This window comes from Homo sapiens, chromosome 2 (genome assembly GCF_000001405.40).
Source record: "Homo sapiens chromosome 2, GRCh38.p14 Primary Assembly".
NCBI classification, from domain to species: Eukaryota; Metazoa; Chordata; class Mammalia; order Primates; family Hominidae; genus Homo; species Homo sapiens.
The window spans coordinates 61,490,885-61,509,878 of record NC_000002.12 but is presented as its reverse complement, the minus strand read 5'-3'; the positions used below and the strand labels follow the sequence as shown (position 1 = coordinate 61,509,878).

The following is an 18,994-nucleotide window of genomic DNA, read 5'->3' as shown; positions in this document are numbered from 1 at the left end:
TGAAATTGATTCGAAACTAGATTGAACTTGCCTTTTTCCTATTTGTAATTTACATTTTTAATAGTGTATCAAAAGCCTTAAACCATTTTCTGTGGTGCAGGTTGACTGCCTCTTGCTGGAAATGCTTGGGATGAGAAGTGTTCCAGACTTTGGGCTTTTTCAGATTTTGGAATATTTGCATTATGCTCACGAGTTAAGCATTCCAAAACTGAAATAGCCCAATGAGCATTTCCTTTTTTTTTCCTTTTTTTTGAGACAGAGTTTCGCTCTTGTTGCCCAGGCTGGAGTGCGACGGCATGATCTCGACTCACTGCAACCTCTGCCTCCTGGGTTGAAGTGATTCTCCTGCCTCATCCTCCTGTGTAGTTGGGATTACAGTCATGCGGCACCATGCCTGGCTAATTTTGTAGTTTTAGTAGAGACAGGGTTTCTTCATGTTGGTCAGGCTGGTCTCAAACTCCAAACCTCAGGTGAGCCGCCCGCCTTGTGTTGGGATTACAGGCGTGAGCTATCTCACCCAACCTGAGCATTTCCTTTTAGTGCCATGTTGGTGCTTTAAAACTTGCAGATTTGGGGTTGGGCGTGGTGGCTCATGCCTGTAATCCCAGCACTTTGGGAGGCTGAGGCAGGTGGGTTGCCTGAGGTCAGGAGTTGGAGAACAGCCTGGCCAACATAGTGAAACCTTGTCTTTACCTAAAAAAAAAAAAAAATCAGCTGGGCGTGGTGACGGGCACCTGTAATCCCAGCTACTCTGGGAGGCTGAGGCAGGAGAATCGCTTGAACTCGGGAGGTGGAGGTTGCAGTGAGCGGAGATAGCACCATTGCACTCCAGCCTGGGCCACAAGAATGAAACTCCATCTCAATCAGTCAGTCAATCTTGCAGATATTGGAGTGTTTCAGATTTCAGATTTGGGGTACTTAAACTGTACGTGAAAATTAGCTGCTGGGGAGGAGAGGAATTGGAATATGTAACATGGACTCCCACATTTTAAGGATTTTTCTAGGACTGCATCTTTCTCTTAATAAGTCAGATCCTTATTTGGTTGAAAATGTTTACTGCATGACTATCACTGACTATGTAAGATGCTGATGTACAACTCTATGACTTGAAGATTGAGTTGCTTCTATGGGAATATGACACCATTTGAATTAATTTGTTCTCAATATTTTAAAGAGTTTTAGTGAATTCTGTTCATATAAAAATCAGGTTCAATAATGCGTGCTTTTTACGCTATCATTGAGTATCCAGTGTTTACAAGGTGTTTCTGAGGGATAAGATTATTATTGCTGTGTAAAGAATTTGGCAGATGGTGTGTACCTTCTAAGTTAGCTTGAGGTTTATTTAAATCTCATCTTTTTAGCTTGCTGAAGTTGATACTATGCAGTTGCAAGTTTATATTGACTATTTGATATTGCTGTGTTTTTATTTGAAATGGGACTGTTAGACACATTTTTCTTTATATTGAGCAATAGAGCTGGAATATTAAAGATGTATGCATTAACCCTTGCATTTGGAACATTTACATGTCATAAGCTGCCTTTCAGTAAGTGGTTAGGCATTTCTACGGGTGTGTATTATATTTTGAATAAATTTTATATGGCTTTCCAAGAAACAATTAGAGCATTTGACCCACCGACTTTGTTGTTTATTTTTATTTTTTTGAGATGGAGCCTCCCGCAGTAGAGATAGAGTTTCACTATGTTGGCCAGGCTGGTCTTGAATTCCGCCTCAGGTGATCCACGTGCCTTGGCCTCCCAAAGTGCTGGGATTACAGGTGTGAGCCACCATGCCCAACCTGACCTACCAACTTTGGATGTGAATTTTTTTCATTTATATTGAGAAGAATAGGGTCTTGGGCCACTAGATTGTACCAGTGCTAAGTCAGTATCTGAATCCATTGAAGATCCTGTTGGCAACGTCAGGACTTATCAAAGACACACAACTTCAATGAGAACCTTTCTTTGGAATTAATTAATTAATGATATGGAGCCTTGATCTGTCACTCAGGCTGGAGTGCAGTGGCACTATTTCAGCTCACTAGGAATGCATCTTTCTCTTCTCTTTCTCCACCTCCCAGGTTTAAGCACTTCTCCTGCCTCAGCCTCCCGAGTAGCTGGGACTGCAGGCACAAGCCACCATGCTGAGCTAATTTTTGTATTTTTAGCAGAGACAAGGTTTTGCCATGTTGGCCAGGCTGGTCTCGAACTCCTGGCCTCACGTGATCTGCCCACCTCAGCCTCCCAAAGTACTGGGATTACAGGCTTGAGCCACTGTGCCCGGCTGCCTTGTTTGATTTTTTTTTTTAAAGAGACAGAGATCCCCTCTGTTGCCCAGGCTGAAGTGCAGTGACACAATCATAGCTCGTTGTAACTTCAGTCTCCTGGGTGATGGGTAGAATTCTGCCACAGCCCAAGTAGCTAGGAGTATAGGCACGAACGACTGTGCCTAGCTAATTTTTTTATTTTTTGTGGAAATGGGGCCTTGCTGTGTTGCCCAAGCTGGTCTCAAGCTCGTTTCCTCAAACCCTCCTCCCATGTCAGCCTTCCAAAGCTCCAGGATTACAGGTGTGAGCCATCGTGCGTGACTTGTTTTTGATTTTTGTATCGTTTTCTTCACTCTTTTTTTTTTTTTTTTGAGATGGAGTCTCCCGCTGTCACCCAAGCTGGAGTGCAGTGGCACAATCTTGGCTCACTGCAACTGCATCTTGGGTTCAAGTGATTCTCCTGCCTCAGTCTCCCCAAGTAGCTGGGACTACAGGCGCATGCCACCACGCCCAGCTAAATTTTTTTGTTTTTATTTTTTGCATTTTTAGTAGAGACGAGGTTTCACCACGTTGGCCAGGCTGGTCTTGAACTCTTGACCTCAGATGATCTGCCCGTCTCGGCCTCCCAAAGTGCTGGGATTACAGGTGTGAGCCACCGCGCCCGGCCTTCTTCACCTTTTGTATCAAGCTTTTTAAGGAAGAGCTTAGAAAGCCAGTTTAAAGGAATTGAAATGTGTTATGTAAATGTCTGTTTTGCAACTGAGACCCACTAATTTATTTAGAACAAAAAGTCAGAGACCAGTAATGGGTCCTTTTCTGTCAAATTTCAAGCTGAGCTGTTTCTGCTACTTAGAAACATTTCGATTTTCTACCTAGATATGTATTATATCATTGCTAATTATTTATTTATTTATTTATTTATTTATTTGAGGTGGAGTCTCACTCTGTCGCCCAGGCTTGAGTGTACTAATTTATTTTTAAGTGCAGTTTAACATTGGATTTTTTTTTTTTTTTTTGAGACGGAATCTTGCTCTGTCGCCCAGACTGGAGTGCAGTGGCACGATCTTGGCTCAGAGCAACCTCTGGCTCCTGGGTTCAAGCGTTTCTCCTGCCTCAGCTTCCCAGGTAGCTGGGATTACAGGCATGAGCCACTGCTCCTGGCCTACAGTTGGAATTTTTTGTTGTTGTTTTTGAGACGGAGTCTTGCTCTGTCACCCAGGCTTGAGTGCAGTGGCGCGATCTCAGCTCACTGCATTGTCCATTTCCTGGGTTCAAATGATTCTCATGCCTCAGCCTCCTGAGTAGCTGGGATTATAGGCGCGTGCCACCATGCCTGGCTAATTTTGTTGTATTTTTATTAGAGACAGGGTTTCACCATGTTGGCCAGGCTGGTCTGGAACTCCTGACCTCAAGTGATCTGCCTGCCTCGGCCTTCCAGAGTGTTGGGATTACAGGCGTGAGCCATCCGTCCGGCTGGAATGCTATTCTTAATTGACCTGCATTTATTTATTTATTTATTTATTTGGCAAGCCTTGAGGAAGGGATTTGGGGAATGAACAATGGTACTTGATCAAATAATCCTTGTACTAGGCAATCACAGTTTCTAGGGCCACTGTACCTGGCCATGGGGGTTTTATTGATAATAATCTGTAAGGAACAAAAGGGTTAGTACTATCGGAATTTTTGATTAGATGTAGTGAGCATTAAGGACATATGGAAAGTAGTTTGAAGTAAAATATATACAGTATAAGAGTCAGAATCAGCCAGGCGCGGTGGCTCATGTAATCCCAGCACTTCGGGAGGCCGAGGTGGGCGGATCACCTGAAGTCAGGAGTTCGAGATGGCCTGGCCAAAATGGTGAAACCCCATCTCTAGTGAAAATACAAAAAAAAGCCAGGTGCGGTGGCTCACGTCTGTAATCTCAGCACTTTGGGATGCTGAGGCAGGATAATCGCTTAAACCTGGAAGGCAGAGGTTGCAGTGAGCTGAGATCACGCCACTGCACACCAATCTGGGGTACAGTGAGGCTCTGTCTCAAAAAAAAAATACAAAAAAAGTAGCCAGACATAGTGGCATCTACTTGTAGTCCAGGGTACTCAGGAGGCTGAGGCAGGAGAATCACTTGAACCCAGGAGGCGGCCGTGTCAGTGAGCCTAGATCACACCACTGCACTCCAGCCTGGAAGACAGAGGAAGACTCCATCTCAAAAAAAAAAAAAAAAAGTGAGAATGTTGCATAGATTACCCAAGTTAATTCTTATAATTTAGTGTTCATTTAAAAGGAAAATTGATTTCCTACTTTTTGTTTTTAAAAATAGTATTAGGCTGGGTATGGTGGGTCAGGCCTGTAATCCCAACATAAAATGTGGCCAAGGCAGGAGGATTGCTTGAGGTTTGGAGTTCAAGGCCAGCCCCAGCAACAATGAGACCAGGAAAAATCAGCCAGGCACGGTGCTAAGCACCTGTGGTCCCAGCTAGTCAGCTAGCTGAGGCAGGAGGATCGCTTGAGTCCAGAAGTTCAAGGCTGCAGTGAGCTGTGATGGCACCACTGCATTCTAGTGTGGGCAACAGACCAAGACCCTGCCTCTAAAACAAAATGTAAAAAATATATTTTCCATTTCCCTATTCATTTTATGTATTTGTAGCATAAATGTTACTATGCATATTGACACTTAACACCATTAGATTTCTCTTACATGTATTACGTTGCTTTACTGCATTAGTAATATTTTTTTCGTAATTAGGAAAGTCCATAATTACTGTTACAGAAATTTTTTATTTGGGATATTGTGGGAAATGGCTAGTGTTGTCATAGTTAATAAAAATTATATAATTAAGTGCCATTGAAGAACCATAGTTTGAAAGTGAATTTAATACATTAGCTCATAGTTATACAATCTCACAAGCATTTTGCTGCCTTCAGGTTGTCAGTTTCCTGCTAATGCTAATGACTAAATTTTTTATTTTTCTTTTCAACGAAAATTTCACTCAGTTCTATATATGCCAGATGAGGCTTGGAACATACAGCTCTACAACCTTTAACTGCTTTTCCAAAAATCTGAACGCTATGAAAATGAAAAATCTTCATAATTTAACTGATTTGGTGACAAAGCGTAAAGTGAACAGATGTGAGAGTATTTGTAATTGTTAATTTTACGTAGTAGGAAATAGTAATTTGTTCAATTAGGGTTGCTACTTCATATCCTTTTAGTGTTTCAATATAGGTGTACCACACTACTTTTCCTTTAAAAATGTTCTCAGAATTTAACATTCTGCAACACTCTTGAACCCTGTGATTTTGGAGAATGGAACCTATAGTAGATGCTCAGCAAATTCTACATGATGCAAATTAAAATCAAGGATATGAGTATCATGTCTTAACTGTTTAAAGAGTAGGTTTTACTATGAAGAGATCCATAAGTAAAGAGCATTTGAAATGAAAACTTTTTCCTAAACTTCCCTCTTTTTTTTAACATTGTGTGTGTGAAGTTAATGTTGTATTTCTAATATGAGCTTAATGTTGCAATTAATGTATAGTGGAAAATAATAACACGTATATTAATTCATTTTTGAGACAAGAGTTCGCTCTGTTGCCCAGGCTGGAGTGCAGTGGCATGATCTCCGTTCACTGCAGCCTCCGCCTCTAGGCCTCAAGCGATCCACCGGCTTCATCCTTCCAAAGTGCTGGGATTACAGGAGTAAGCCACTGTGCCCAAGCCATCAATAAATTTTTATGGGTTAGAAGTTTGGGCCAGGCCTGGTGGCTCATGCCTATAATCCCAGCAGTCTGGGAGGCCAAGGCAGGTGGATTACTTGAGGTCAGGAGTTTCAGACCAGCCTAGCCAACATGGTGAAAACATGTCTCTATAAAAATACAAAAAGTAGCTGGGTGTGCTGGGCGCAGTGGCTCACGCCTGTAATCCCAGCACTTTGGGAGGCCGAGGCAGGCAGATCACGAGGTCAGGAGATCGAGACCATCCTGGCTAACACGGTGAAACCCCATCTCTACTAAAAATACAAAAAAATAGCCGAGCATGGTGGCGGGCGCCTGTAGTCCCAGCTACTTGGGAGGCTGAGGCATGAGAATGGCGTGAACCCAGGAGGTGGAGCTTGCAGTGAGGCGAGATCGCGCCACTGCACTCCAGCCTGGGCGACAGAGCGAGATTCTGTCTCAAAAAAAAAAAAATAGTAGCTGGATGTGGTGGTGCGTGCCTGTAATCCCAGCTGCTCAGGATGCTGAGGCAGGACAATTGCTTGAACCCAGGAGGTGGAGGCGGAGGTTGCAGTGAACCAAGATTGCACCTCTGCACTCCAGCCTGGGCAACAGAGCAAGACTGTCTCCAAAAAAAAGAAAGAAAAGGCCGGGTGCAGTAGCTCACACCTATAATCCCAGCACTTTGGGAGGCCGAGGAGGGCGGATCACTTGAGGTCAGGAGTTCAAGATCAGCCTGGCCAACATGGTGAAACCTTGTCTCTTATTGAAAATACAAAAATTAGCCAGGCATGGTGGTTGATGCCTGTACTCGGGAGCCTGAGGCAGGAGAATCACTTGAACCTGGGAGGCAGAGGTTGCAGGGAGCCAAGATTGTGCCACTGCACTCCAGTGTGTGTGACATAACAGGACTCCGTCTCAAAAAAAAAAAAAAAAAAGAAAAGAAACACATGGAACCAAATCAGGATGAAAGAAACTGGAATAGCAGTTTGTTATAGGCTGGGCTTGTTGGCTTGTTCCTGTAATTCCAGCACTTTGGGAGGCCCAGGCAGGAGGATCACTTGAGTCTATGAGTTTAAGACCAACCTGGGCAACAATGCCAGATCCCATCTTTAAAAATATGAATAGCACATTAAATTCATTGATTTTTTTTTTTTAAGTCTTGCTCTGTTGCCCAGGCTGGAGTGCAATGACGTGATGTCTGCTCACTGCAACCTCCACCTCCCGGATTCAAGTGATTCCCCTGCCTCAGCCTCCCGAGTAGCTGGGATTACAGGCACCCGCCACCACGCCCAGTTAATTTTTGTATTTTTAGTAGAGACAGGGTTTCACCATGTTGGTCATGCTGGTCTCGAATTCCTGGCCTCAGGTGATCCACCCACCTCAGCCTCCCAAAGAATTGCTGGGATTACAAGCGTGAGCCACCGCACCGGGCCGGAATTTTTTTAAAATGCCAATACTGGTGACAGGATTAGAGTATATTAACTGATTTTACTTAGTCTTTCCATTCCCACATTAATTAGTTCTCAAAATTTATTTGCATGCTACAAAAGAGCTCAACAATTTTTTTATTACGTGCAATTTTTTTAATAGGAATAAAAAAATACGTTGTTGGCCTCATTATCAAGACGTCATCTGACCCAACTTGTGTAGAGGTAAGAGTTTATTTTGGAGCTTATTGGGAGAGCATAAAATCATTTAGATATTGAGTCTGACTACAACCTAATTCTGTCAAGACACATAGTCACACATATGCACAGTCAGTCATTTACAGTAGAGCTGTAATCATTTGTTAGGATTGTCTGGTTATATTCTTATTTATACTTACCTCAGGCTCTCATTTAATCTTTTACTTTTCCTTAGAAAGAAAAGGTGTATATCGGAAAATTAAATATGATCCTTGTTCAGGTAAGCTTTAACTTAACTGTTTTCCTTAGAAGAATTATGCTTATTATTTGAACAAAATGTTCGACCTACTTAGGAAATAAAGTATACTAATATTTTGCAGAAGTAGTGATAGTATTCTTATAATAATAGGTAACCTACTGTCTAGTACTTGAATGTTAATTTGCTGTGGCAGTAATCATCAAATAACGTTAAAGCCATCATTTATGTGGCTGCAGTGTGGACTGGACTCTGTTGGATTCTTATTTATCTTTTCTTTTCTTTTTTTTTTTTTTTTGGAGACAGTCTCCCTCTGTTGCCCAGGCTGGAGTGCAGTGGCATGATCTCGGCTCACTGCAGCCTCTGCTACCCGGGTTCAAGCGATTGTTCTGCCTCAGCCTCCTGAGTGGCTGGAATTACGGGTGCTTACCACCACGTTTGGCTAATTTTTTGTATTTTTAGTAGAGACAGGGTTTCACCATGTTGGCCAGGCTGGTCTCAAACTCTTGACCTCAGGTGATCCACCCACCTCGACCTCCCAAAGTGCTGGGATTATAGGTGTGAGCCGCTGCACCTGGCCGGATTGTTTTTTAATTTTCTGATATGCCTGTGCATATTTCCTTTGCATGTATGTCTCTGAGTCCTTTGATTTCCTCGTCCTTCTAATTGATTTCCATGCTTAGTCCTTAAACTGTCTATGTAGACTAAATTTATAATTTTTATGTTTATCTGTTTTCTATAGTAATATCATAAAATTTTTTCCAGAGAACCCTGGTATGTGTGGGGGAAAAAACAGTAATTTCTATTTAAATAAGACTTAGAAACATCCAAGCTTCCAAAAATTTTAGTGTATTCAGTAATTAACTCCAGCTTTTATTATACTTTAGAGCTTTCTGTTAGCCCTTCTCTGAGTGGTGAGAGAGAGGAGAGAATATAAAGAAGGTTAACATGTATTTTTATAATCTGAAAAATCCCTTGTGTGTGCCATAAATAGTCCAGACTTGCATACAAATATAATGCAGTTCATGAGGCTTTTGGTTAAAAGTTTATTCAGGCCCCGATTGCAGTGCGTCCTCTCTTTTAAATTCATATATCCAAACCCTACTACATTTCAAGGCTCAAATTGCATCCAATAATAAGCTGTCTTAACCGGTCACTTTTTATCACCAATGGTTAATTAAATCCTTGAGTCTCCTAGGATAATTTCTTCTTTTCTTGTTTGAAATGGAGTGTCGCTCTGTCGCCCATGCTGGAGTGCAGTGGCACCGTCTTAGTTCACTGAAACCTCCACCTCCCAGGTTCAAGCAATTCTCCTGCCTTGGCCTCCCCAGTAGCTGAGACTACTGGCCCGCGCCACCACCCCTGGCTAATTTTTGTATTTTTAGTAGAGACGGGGTTTCACCATGTTGGCCAGGCTGCTCTTTTTTTTTTTTTTTTTTTTGAGATGGAGTCTCATCCTGTTGCCCAGCCTTGAGTGCAGTGGCCTGGTCTCGGCTCACTGCAACCTCTGCCTCCCAGGTTCAAGAGATTCTCCTGCCTCAGCCTCCCGAGCAGCTGGGATCACAGGCACACGTCACCATGCCTCGCTAATTTTTGTATTTTTAGTAGAGACAGGGTTTCACCATGTTGGCCAGGCTGGTCTTGAACTCCTGACCTCGTGATCCTCCTACCTCGGCCTCCCAAAGTGCTGGGATTACAGGCACGAGCTACCACGCCCAGCCTGGCCAGGCTGTTCTCAGACTCCTGGCCTCAAGTGATCTGCCCACCCTGGCTCCCCACAAAGTGCTGGGATTACAGGCATGAGCAACCGCGCAAGGCCTCCTAGAATAATTTCTACATATCTATCAGGCAGATACTAATACACAGACAGACCCATTAGACGGATTGGACCTTTCATTAGGATAATTGAAAAGGGTCCTGCGGTGATTAAGATAAAAGACTTTGTGTTTTGTTTTCTACCCAGTAGGGTGAAGAGGGTGGCACATTTCTTCCTTTAATAAAGGAGGAGAAAATGAAAAGTGATTTATCCTTACTCCTGCCTTTATCCATTACATAATTTCTTTGAAGTTTGTTTTATTTGCCTTTGAGAAATGAAGTGCGATTAACATTTCATGTCTTGTTTTAGATACTGAAACAAGAATGGCCCAAACATTGGCCAACTTTTATCAGTGATATTGTTGGAGCAAGTAGGACCAGCGAAAGTCTCTGTCAAAATAATATGGTGATTCTTAAACTCTTGAGTGAAGAAGTATTTGATTTCTCTAGTGGACAGATAACCCAAGTCAAATCTAAGCATTTAAAAGACAGGCAAGTAATAATTATGTTTTAGAATTTTAAAGTGATTTCTCAAACAATTTCAAGCAGTTTGGATGTAAATTGTAGATATTTTAAGGAACTATGATCAGTAATATGTTAAATTGCTTGTAGTGGTTTTCAACTGCAGATTAAGAAATAGTCCTAGACGGGGCCTAATAATTTACCTCTGAAGGTTGAAAAATGAATTGTTCAAGACACACTTCAGGAATTGTTTTGTATGGTAACTAGTTTAATAGGTTCTAAGCAAATGATTTGTGTCCAAACATACGTATTAGTTATTTTATTTTATTTTGAGACAAGTCTTGCTCTATTGCCTGGGGTGGAGTGCAGCAGCGCAATCTTGGCTCACCACAACCCCCACCTCCTGGATTGAGGTGATTTTCTTGCCTCAGTTTCCCAAATAGCTGTGACTGCAGGTGCATGCCACAGAGCCTGGCCTCAAATCAGTTATTGTCTCTGCTTCTTTTCAGTTCCCCAATTGTTAACAATAGTGTTCTTTTTAAAACAAAACAGAAAACTAGATTTGCCTCTAATAGTAAGCAACTGGTATAAACTATAGTTATACTTCCATTAAGTTTTAAACATTTGTTGTAGTCATTAGGAAATCTTTTTCCCCTTGGGTTGCCCAGGCTGGTCTCAAACAATCCTTCTGCCATGGCCTCCCAAAGTTCTGCGATTACAGGCATGAGCCACTGTACTGGGCTTTAATCATTTTTATTAGTATTATAGATAACTGATACTTATTTCTGTGTCTTCTAAATCTGATATTTTTGTGTGTTTTTTTTTTTAGCATGTGCAATGAATTCTCACAGATATTTCAACTGTGTCAGTTTGTAATGGTAAGTGTTTTTAATTTCATTTTTAAAAACAATAATAGGAAAGCAATTATTTACAAGTGTGTTTTGTTATAGGAAAATTCTCAAAATGCTCCACTTGTACATGCAACCTTGGAAACATTGCTCAGATTTCTGAACTGGATTCCCCTGGGATATATTTTTGAGACCAAATTAATCAGCACATTGATTTATAAGGTACAGTGAATACATTTCAGTTATTTGTCACCGGATAGCCACATATATTCTTTTCACATGTAAAGCTCTCATCTCTGCATTCTAAACCTTATTCAACCTTGTTTCTAACACGAGGACGCTGCTCAGGAGAAATTTCCCATATTCACACCTAGTAAATTATTTAAAGTGAGTTTCAAATCTGATTCTGCCACTTAGACCATGTAATTTTATGAATTCATTTTGAACAATGGATTTGATTATATTGCTTTTAGTTTGAGTAAGTTACAGTGAGGTAAGTCAAGTGCTATTTCTGAAAAATGAAAAGTTCATCTTTTAACTGATAATTTAAAATTGATACCATGTTATGGCTTAAGTTCTATAATGGTTTAGCCTGGGCAAGTTGGTGAAACCGGTCTCTACTAAAAATACAAAACAGCCAGGCGTGGTGGTGTATGCCTGTAGTCCCAGCTACTCGGGAGGCTGTGGCAGGAGAATCTCAAACTCAGGAGGCAGAAGGTGCAGTGAGCCAAGATCGTGCCACTGCACTCCAGCCTGGGCAACAGAGCGAGACCCTGTCTCAAAATAAGTAAAGTTCTACAGTGGTTTATCCAGAGATAATCACTGTTACCAGTTGGTTGTATTATATTTTCAGATGTTTTCTTGACTGATATAATGAATAAATTAAGTATCTAATTGGAACATTATAACTTGACCTCTTCAACTTCGTAGTTTAGTTTGGTAAGATAATATGGATTTATAGTATTTGAATGATCAGTTTATTGCTTAATTATGTAAAAACCTTTCTATTGTCAACAGTCCTACAGAGAACATTCTCAGACATAAGATATTATGCAATTGTCCAAACATTAATTTATTTAAATATTTTAATGTTTAATCACCAGATTATTAGGTATGTTTAATTTTAAGGTTTTAATGCCCCCTGATTTCCAACCCCAGACGATAACTGTTTATCTTCTCAACAATAGAATATATAAGCCAATTTTCCCATATTCTTATTACTCTTAGATACATTGACCATTTCCCAAAATTCTAAGCAATCACAAGTTTTAGGTCCTGTGTAATTACACAGAAAGTATAACATTCCTAAAAGTCATATCACAGATTCTAGGAAAGTTGTTAAGGAGCCTTGTTATTTTAGGACACATCAAAAGAAAGCAGTTTAGGCCGGGCGCTGTGGCTCACGCCTGTAATCCCAGCACTTTGGGAGGTCGAGGTGAGCGGATCACGAGGTCAGGAGATCGAGACCAGCCTGGCCCAACGTGGCAAAACCCTGTCTCTACTAAAAATACAAAAATTAGCCGGGCGTGGTGGCATGCATGTGTAGTCCCAGCTATTTGAGAGGCTGAGGCAGGAGAATCGCTTGAATCCAAGAGGTGAGGTTGCAGTGAGCCGAGATCAAGCCCCTGCATTTCAGCCTGGGCGAGCGAGACTCTGTCTCAAAAAAACAAAAAAAGTTTGCTCCTAAAGCATTTACTGTATACTAGGTAGGCAATAAAATTCCCTCTCAGTATATCTGCATGATAAAATATGTTCATTCACTTGGCCTGTTTTTGACATCTACCCCTATATTTAATTGTTAAAGCCTTTTTCCTTTTAATTGTGAATTTTAAGTAAAGTGTGTATCAGGCCAATTAATTTTATGGTTCCCTCCCCCCTTTTAAATAGTTCCTGAATGTTCCAATGTTTCGAAATGTCTCTCTGAAGTGCCTCACTGAGATTGCTGGTGTGAGTGTAAGCCAATATGAAGAACAATTTGTAACACTATTTACTCTGACAATGATGCAACTAAAGCAGGTAATATAATACTATCTTGAAAATTGGCTGAATAATTTTAGTGCCTTAGAAAATACCAAATTCCAAATGAGTTATTTTAGAACGACGTATCAAAGATAAGCCATAATCTTTTGTTTATTACATAAAATTTGTAGTAAGCTACAAATTTTTATGATGTTTCCAAAAATTTCTTAAAATTCAGGTTTGGGGTGTGTTGTGGTAATTTATTTCTGCACACTTTAGGAGCTTGGTCTTTTGGGAGATACCTGACCAGACAGTGGGAAACCTGGGACTTGTTCCTAACATTGTGTCTGAAGGAATTCTTTTCAGCCCTAGTTTGATTGGTTATCTATTAAATGATCTAGAAGGTTATTCATAATACTGTGTTCATGGCCAGGCATGGTGGTTAATACTGTAATCCCAGAACTTTGGGAGGCCAGAATGGGAGGACCAGTTGATGCCAGGAGTTCGAGACCAGCCAGGACAACATAACCAGACCATACCTACGAAAGATTTAAAAAATAGCTAGCTGTGGTGTTGCACACCTGTAGTTCCAGCTACTCTGGAGGCTGAGGCAATAGGATCGCTTGAGCCTATTAATACAAAGTTAAAATGAGCTATGGTCACACTATTGCACTCCAGCCTGGATGACAGGGTAAATCCCTGTCTCTTTTAAAAAACAAGGAAAGATAGATTACTATGTATGTTTGTGATCTGAATGAATGAATTGATTATTTTTACATTTTTCAATGTCAGTGAGAAATACTAGAAAAATTTAAAGGCTGTGATAGCGGCCTTTAATTTATTTGAGAAGAGTCAAAATCTAAGTCCTAGAGATATAAGAATAGGTATACTGGACCTAGGAGTTCTGTATGTGGTTTAATATTAGCAAAAGGGTGTTGGGATATTAGGGCTTAAAAATAATAGTGTTGGCTGAGTGCAATAGCTCAGACCTTTAATCCCAGCACTTTGGGAGGCTAAGGTGGGAGGATTGCTTGAGCCAGGAGTTTGAGACCAGCCTGGACAACATAACAAGATACCGTCTCTACAAAAATGTTAAAAATAAGCTTAGTGCGATGGCACATACCTGTGGTTCCAGCTACTCGGGAGGGGCTGAGGAGGACTGATTGGGCCTAGGAGGTGGAGGCTGCAGTGAGCTTTGGTCATACCACTGCACTCCAGCCTGGACAGAGTGATACCTTGTCTCAAAAAAATAATAATAAAATATTAAGTGTCTTTAGTTGTTTTATAAAATGCGAACTGATCGTCCCTTTTAAAATTTGCAGATGCTTCCTTTAAATACCAATATTCGACTTGCGTACTCAAATGGAAAAGATGATGAACAGAACTTCATTCAAAATCTCAGTTTGTTTCTCTGCACCTTTCTTAAGGAACATGATCAACTTATAGAAAAAAGATTAAATCTCAGGGAAACTCTTATGGAGGTAAGATATGTGGAGCTTTTGCTCCTAAAATTCTGCTCTGCCTACTAATAACTCTTAAAAGTGCCTTTTTCTAAAATGTATGTACCTTTTGAGATTTCTTATTACTTAATATTTGATCAGTACATTATATATATTCTCAATTCTGAATTACAGTTATAAGCCCAGTTTTCTGATTTTATGTTCTCCATAAAGCTAGGACTAAAAATTTATAATCAAAATTAAATTACTAATTATTATATCATTTCTAAGGTTAAAATTTCAAAGACCTTATTTTAAAATTTCAGTTTTAATTCAAATAACATGCATTTGTTCATTTAAAGATATACAATTCATCGTGTAATCCCAGCACTTTGGGAGGCGGAGGTGGGTGGATCACTTGAGGCAGGAGTTCGAGACCAGCCTGGCCTACATCGTGAATCTCTGTCTCTATTAAAAATACAAAAAAATTAGCTGTGCGTGGTGTCACATGACTGTAATCCCAGCTCCTCAGGAGGCTGAAGCACAGGAATTGCTTTAGCCCAGTAGGCTGAGGTTGCAGTGAGCCAAGATCACAGTACTGCACTCCAGCCTGAGTGACAGAGCAAGACTCTGTCTGAAGGAAGAAAATGTCTCTCTCTCTCTCTTTATATATATATATAAACTTAAGTATATATATATATAAACATAAGTATATATATATATACACACACACACACAATTCAGTGGCATATTAGTATATATACAATGTTATACAACCATTAATACCTAGATCCAAAACATTTTCATCACCCGAAGGTGACCCTTTACCCCTAAAACAGTCACTTTCTCCTTTGTTCTCTCCCCAACTTCTGGCAACCATTATTTTGGTTTCTGTCTCTGTAGATATATCTATTCTGATTATACCATATAAAGGGAATCATGCATGTGACCTTTTGTGTCTGGTTTCTTTTATTTGGTGTTGTGTTTTCAATGTTCTTCCATGTTGTAACCTGTATCAATACCTCACTTTTTATCATGTCTGAAGAATATTCTCATTGTATGAATATTCAGTATTTTGTTTGTTCTCTCCTCTGTGATGGTACATTTGGGTTGTGATACCACTTATTGGCACCCAAGGCCTTTTAAATAAATGTCGTTCCATTAGGAGACATGATAAAAATACATATTGATCAACTACTATGTGAGAGATTTTTGAAGTGCTTTAGGGCATGTCAGAAGAAGCAGAGTTACTCCAGAGTTTGCTGTCTATTTGATAAGTATTGAAATCTGAGTTGTGATGAATAAAACATGAATTTTTATTTTCCCTTAAGGTGTAACAAGTGAAAAGCAATTTGAAGTTGGTAATGTTTAAGAATTATTTTAACAGTTTTGGTCTTCTGTGTAGGCCCTTCATTATATGTTGTTGGTATCTGAAGTAGAAGAAACTGAAATCTTTAAAATTTGTCTTGAATACTGGAATCATTTGGCTGCTGAACTCTATAGAGAGAGTCCATTCTCTACATCTGCCTCTCCGTTGCTTTCTGGAAGTCAACATTTTGATGTTCCTCCCAGGAGACAGCTATATTTGCCCATGTTATTCAAGGTAACAGAGCGGTTGGTTGAGTGTTCTTCCTGTTGCATACTGTGGTTTTGAGGTCTGAATCCAAATACTTCTAATCTGTGTAAATAAATTAGCTATAAAAAGAGAACCCAACAACTTCTCCATGAGTGTGGAAAACTAGAACATGAAAGGAGTTGAGTCTAGAACCTTGATTCTCAAGAGTGTGGTCCTTCTCTCAGTATCAACATTGGTTGTGATTTCGTTAGGCAAATTCATTGGCCACCTGCCAATCTACTAAACCAGAGTCTAGGAATGAGACACAGGAAACTCCTGTAACAGAAGTTGGTTAAAAAAATCACATTAAAACACACTTAAATAATTATAAAGCCATTTTTGTAGAATTACAGTGAAAAAAAATTTTTTCTTTTGGAGACAGGGTCTTGCTCTGTGGCTCAGGTTGGAGTGCAGTGGCGTGGTCATAGCTCACTACAATCTTGAACTCCTAGACTAAAGCAATTCTCTTGTGTCAGCCTCCCAAGTAATTGGTTGCAGGCACACACCACCATGCCTAGCAAATTTTAAATTTTTTAGTTTTACTTCATTTATATTTACATAGTTTTTTCTGTTGTGCTTTAAGCCCCAGTATTTTTATTGTTTTAGAGATTGGGTGTCATTTTGTGTTGCTCAAGCTGCTCTCAAATTCCTGGCCACAACAGTTCTTTTTGCCTCGGCCCTCCGGAATAGTTGGAATTATAGGCATGAATCCCTACACATGGCTGGCTTGTGGTTTTTTTGGTTTTGTTTGTTTTTAACTAAGCTTCTACACTAATGATTTCAGTGATCTAACGATTTTTTTCTTGATTGATATATTGTTGAGTATAGGTCCGTTTATTAATGGTTAGTCGAATGGCTAAACCAGAGGAAGTATTGGTTGTAGAGAATGATCAAGGAGAAGTTGTGAGAGAATTCATGAAGGATACAGATTCCATAAATTTGTATAAGAATATGAGGGAAACATTGGGTAAGTTAATAAATACTGTTAATCTTTACCTTTATAAATCTATTCTGGGGTGGAAATACATTTTAGGAAATGTACTTGTAGTTTCTAAATATTTTCTAAATGTATTGTTACTCATCAATAAAATTCTGCTCATTATTTGCATTTGAAACCATGTTTTTCTTTGTAGTTTATCTTACTCATCTGGATTATGTAGATACAGAAAGAATAATGACAGAGAAGCTTCACAATCAAGTGAATGGTACAGAGTGGTCATGGAAAAATTTGAATACATTGTGTTGGGCAATAGGCTCCATTAGTGGAGCAATGCATGAAGAGGACGAAAAACGATTTCTTGTTACTGTTATAAAGGTATGCAAGGGATAGGTATGAATTAGAATTGCTAAATAAGTATTATGTTGTTACAATAAATAATACAAATTTGTCTTATTTACAGGATCTATTAGGATTATGTGAACAGAAAAGAGGCAAAGATAATAAAGCTATTATTGCATCAAATATCATGTACATAGTAGGTCAATACCCACGTTTTTTGAGAGCTCACTGGAAATTTCTGAAGACTGTAGTTAACAAGCTGTTCGAATTCATGCATGGTAAATCTCTTTCTTTACTATATTTTGCTTTTATTTTTATTGAAGAAAATAAATGAATGTTTTTGTCTTGTTAGAGACCCATGATGGAGTCCAGGACAAAATAAATGAATATTTTTGTCTTGTTAGAGACCCATGATGGAGTCCAGGATATGGCTTGTGATACTTTCATTAAAATAGCCCAAAAATGCCGCAGGCATTTCGTTCAGGTTCAGGTTGGAGAAGTGATGCCATTTATTGATGAAATTTTGAACAACATTAACACTATTATTTGTGATCTTCAGCCTCAACAGGTATGTTAAGCACTGAGCATATGTTATTTTTAGAAAGTAACACTTGTATCAATCTGTATGTATCAATGGAAATAGGAGGGCAACTATTGGATCCAATAGAAGTGTTTCTGATTAAATTTTCTTTCTTTTTTCCTTGAGACAGGGTCTTACTCTGTTGCCCAGGCTTGAGTGCAGTGGCACAATTACGGCTCACTGCAGCCTTGAACTCCCAGGCTCAGGTGATCCTCCCACCTTGGCCTCGTGGGTAGCTGGGACTACAGGCATGCACTGCCATCACACTCAGCTAACCTTTTTCCCCCCCTTGGTAGAGATGGGGTTTTGCCAAGTGGCCCAGGCTGGTCTTGAACTCCTAGCTTCAAGCGATACGCTTGCCTCAGCCTCCCAAAATGATTTTATATGTGTGAGCCACCACGCCCAGCCTGGTTAAATTTTCATAGTGAGACAGATTCTTGACCAGAAGATTGTTAGGCTGTTGTCCTATGTAAAATTATTCCGAACAAACAAAATCAGGTGTTTTTTGTTTTGTTTTGTTTTGGGGTGTGTGTGTGTGTGTGTGTGTGTGTGTGTGTGTGTGTTTGTTTTTTGAGATGGAGTTTCACTCTGTCGTCCATGCTGGAGTGCAGTGGCGCAATCTCGGCTCACTGCAGCCTTGCCTCCTGGGGTCAAACGATTCTCTTCCTCAGTGGCTATGATTAACAGGTGCTTGCCACCACGCCCAGCTAATTTTTTTATTTTTAGTAGAGACGGGGTTTCTCCATGTTGGTCAGGCTCATCTCCAACTCCTGACCTCATGATCCGCCCGCCTCGGCCTCCCAAAGTGCTGGGATTACAGGCGTGAGCCACCACCATGCCTGGCCAGTTTGGGTTGTTTGTTTGTTTGTTTTTTGAGGTGGAGTCTTCCTCTGTCACCCAGGCTCGAGTGCAGTATTGCAATCTCGGCTCACTGCAACCTCTGCCTCCCAGGTTCAAGCAATTCAAACCTCCCAAGTAACTGGAATTATAGGCACCTGCCACCACGCTTGGCTAATTTCTTTGTATTTGTAGAAGAGATGGGGTTTCACCACGTTGGTCAGGCTGGTCTGCAACTCCTGACCACAAGTGATTGGCCTGCCTTGGCTTCTCAAAGTATTGGGATTACAGGAGTGATCCA

The 18,994-nt window shown here is 40.2% G+C and overlaps 1 protein-coding gene across 24 annotated transcripts in view, besides 1 other annotated feature; it reads left to right on the top strand.

Annotated features, from left to right (window-relative positions):
- Window positions 1-18,994, top strand: part of XPO1 (exportin 1) — a 60,764-nt gene that overhangs the window by 28,734 nt on the left and 13,036 nt on the right. For 16 of the 24 annotated variants that reach the window (XM_011533097.2, XM_011533098.3, NM_003400.4 and 13 more), the window contains 12 exons: window positions 7,569-7,630; window positions 7,839-7,883; window positions 9,985-10,166; window positions 10,966-11,014; window positions 11,087-11,206; window positions 12,872-13,000; window positions 14,266-14,424; window positions 15,788-15,985; window positions 16,826-16,964; window positions 17,131-17,312; window positions 17,398-17,554; window positions 17,681-17,844. In XM_011533097.2, coding sequence (XP_011531399.1) covers window positions 7,569-7,630; window positions 7,839-7,883; window positions 9,985-10,166; window positions 10,966-11,014; window positions 11,087-11,206; window positions 12,872-13,000; window positions 14,266-14,424; window positions 15,788-15,985; window positions 16,826-16,964; window positions 17,131-17,312; window positions 17,398-17,554; window positions 17,681-17,844 — 1,586 coding nt within the window. The remainder of the gene's footprint in view (window positions 1-7,568; window positions 7,631-7,838; window positions 7,884-9,984; window positions 10,167-10,965; window positions 11,015-11,086; window positions 11,207-12,871; window positions 13,001-14,265; window positions 14,425-15,787; window positions 15,986-16,825; window positions 16,965-17,130; window positions 17,313-17,397; window positions 17,555-17,680; window positions 17,845-18,994) is intronic. The other 8 variants (XM_047445764.1, XM_047445771.1, XM_005264544.3 and 5 more) reach the window with 1 other exon arrangement.
- Window positions 1,039-1,239: a silencer, noted in NCBI's record as "peak3717 fragment used in MPRA reporter construct". NCBI's record gives its function as "represses an SCP1 promoter by STARR-seq MPRAs in K562 erythroleukemia cells {active_cell/tissue: K562}" and the evidence as "EXISTENCE:reporter gene assay evidence [ECO:0000049][PMID:32103011]".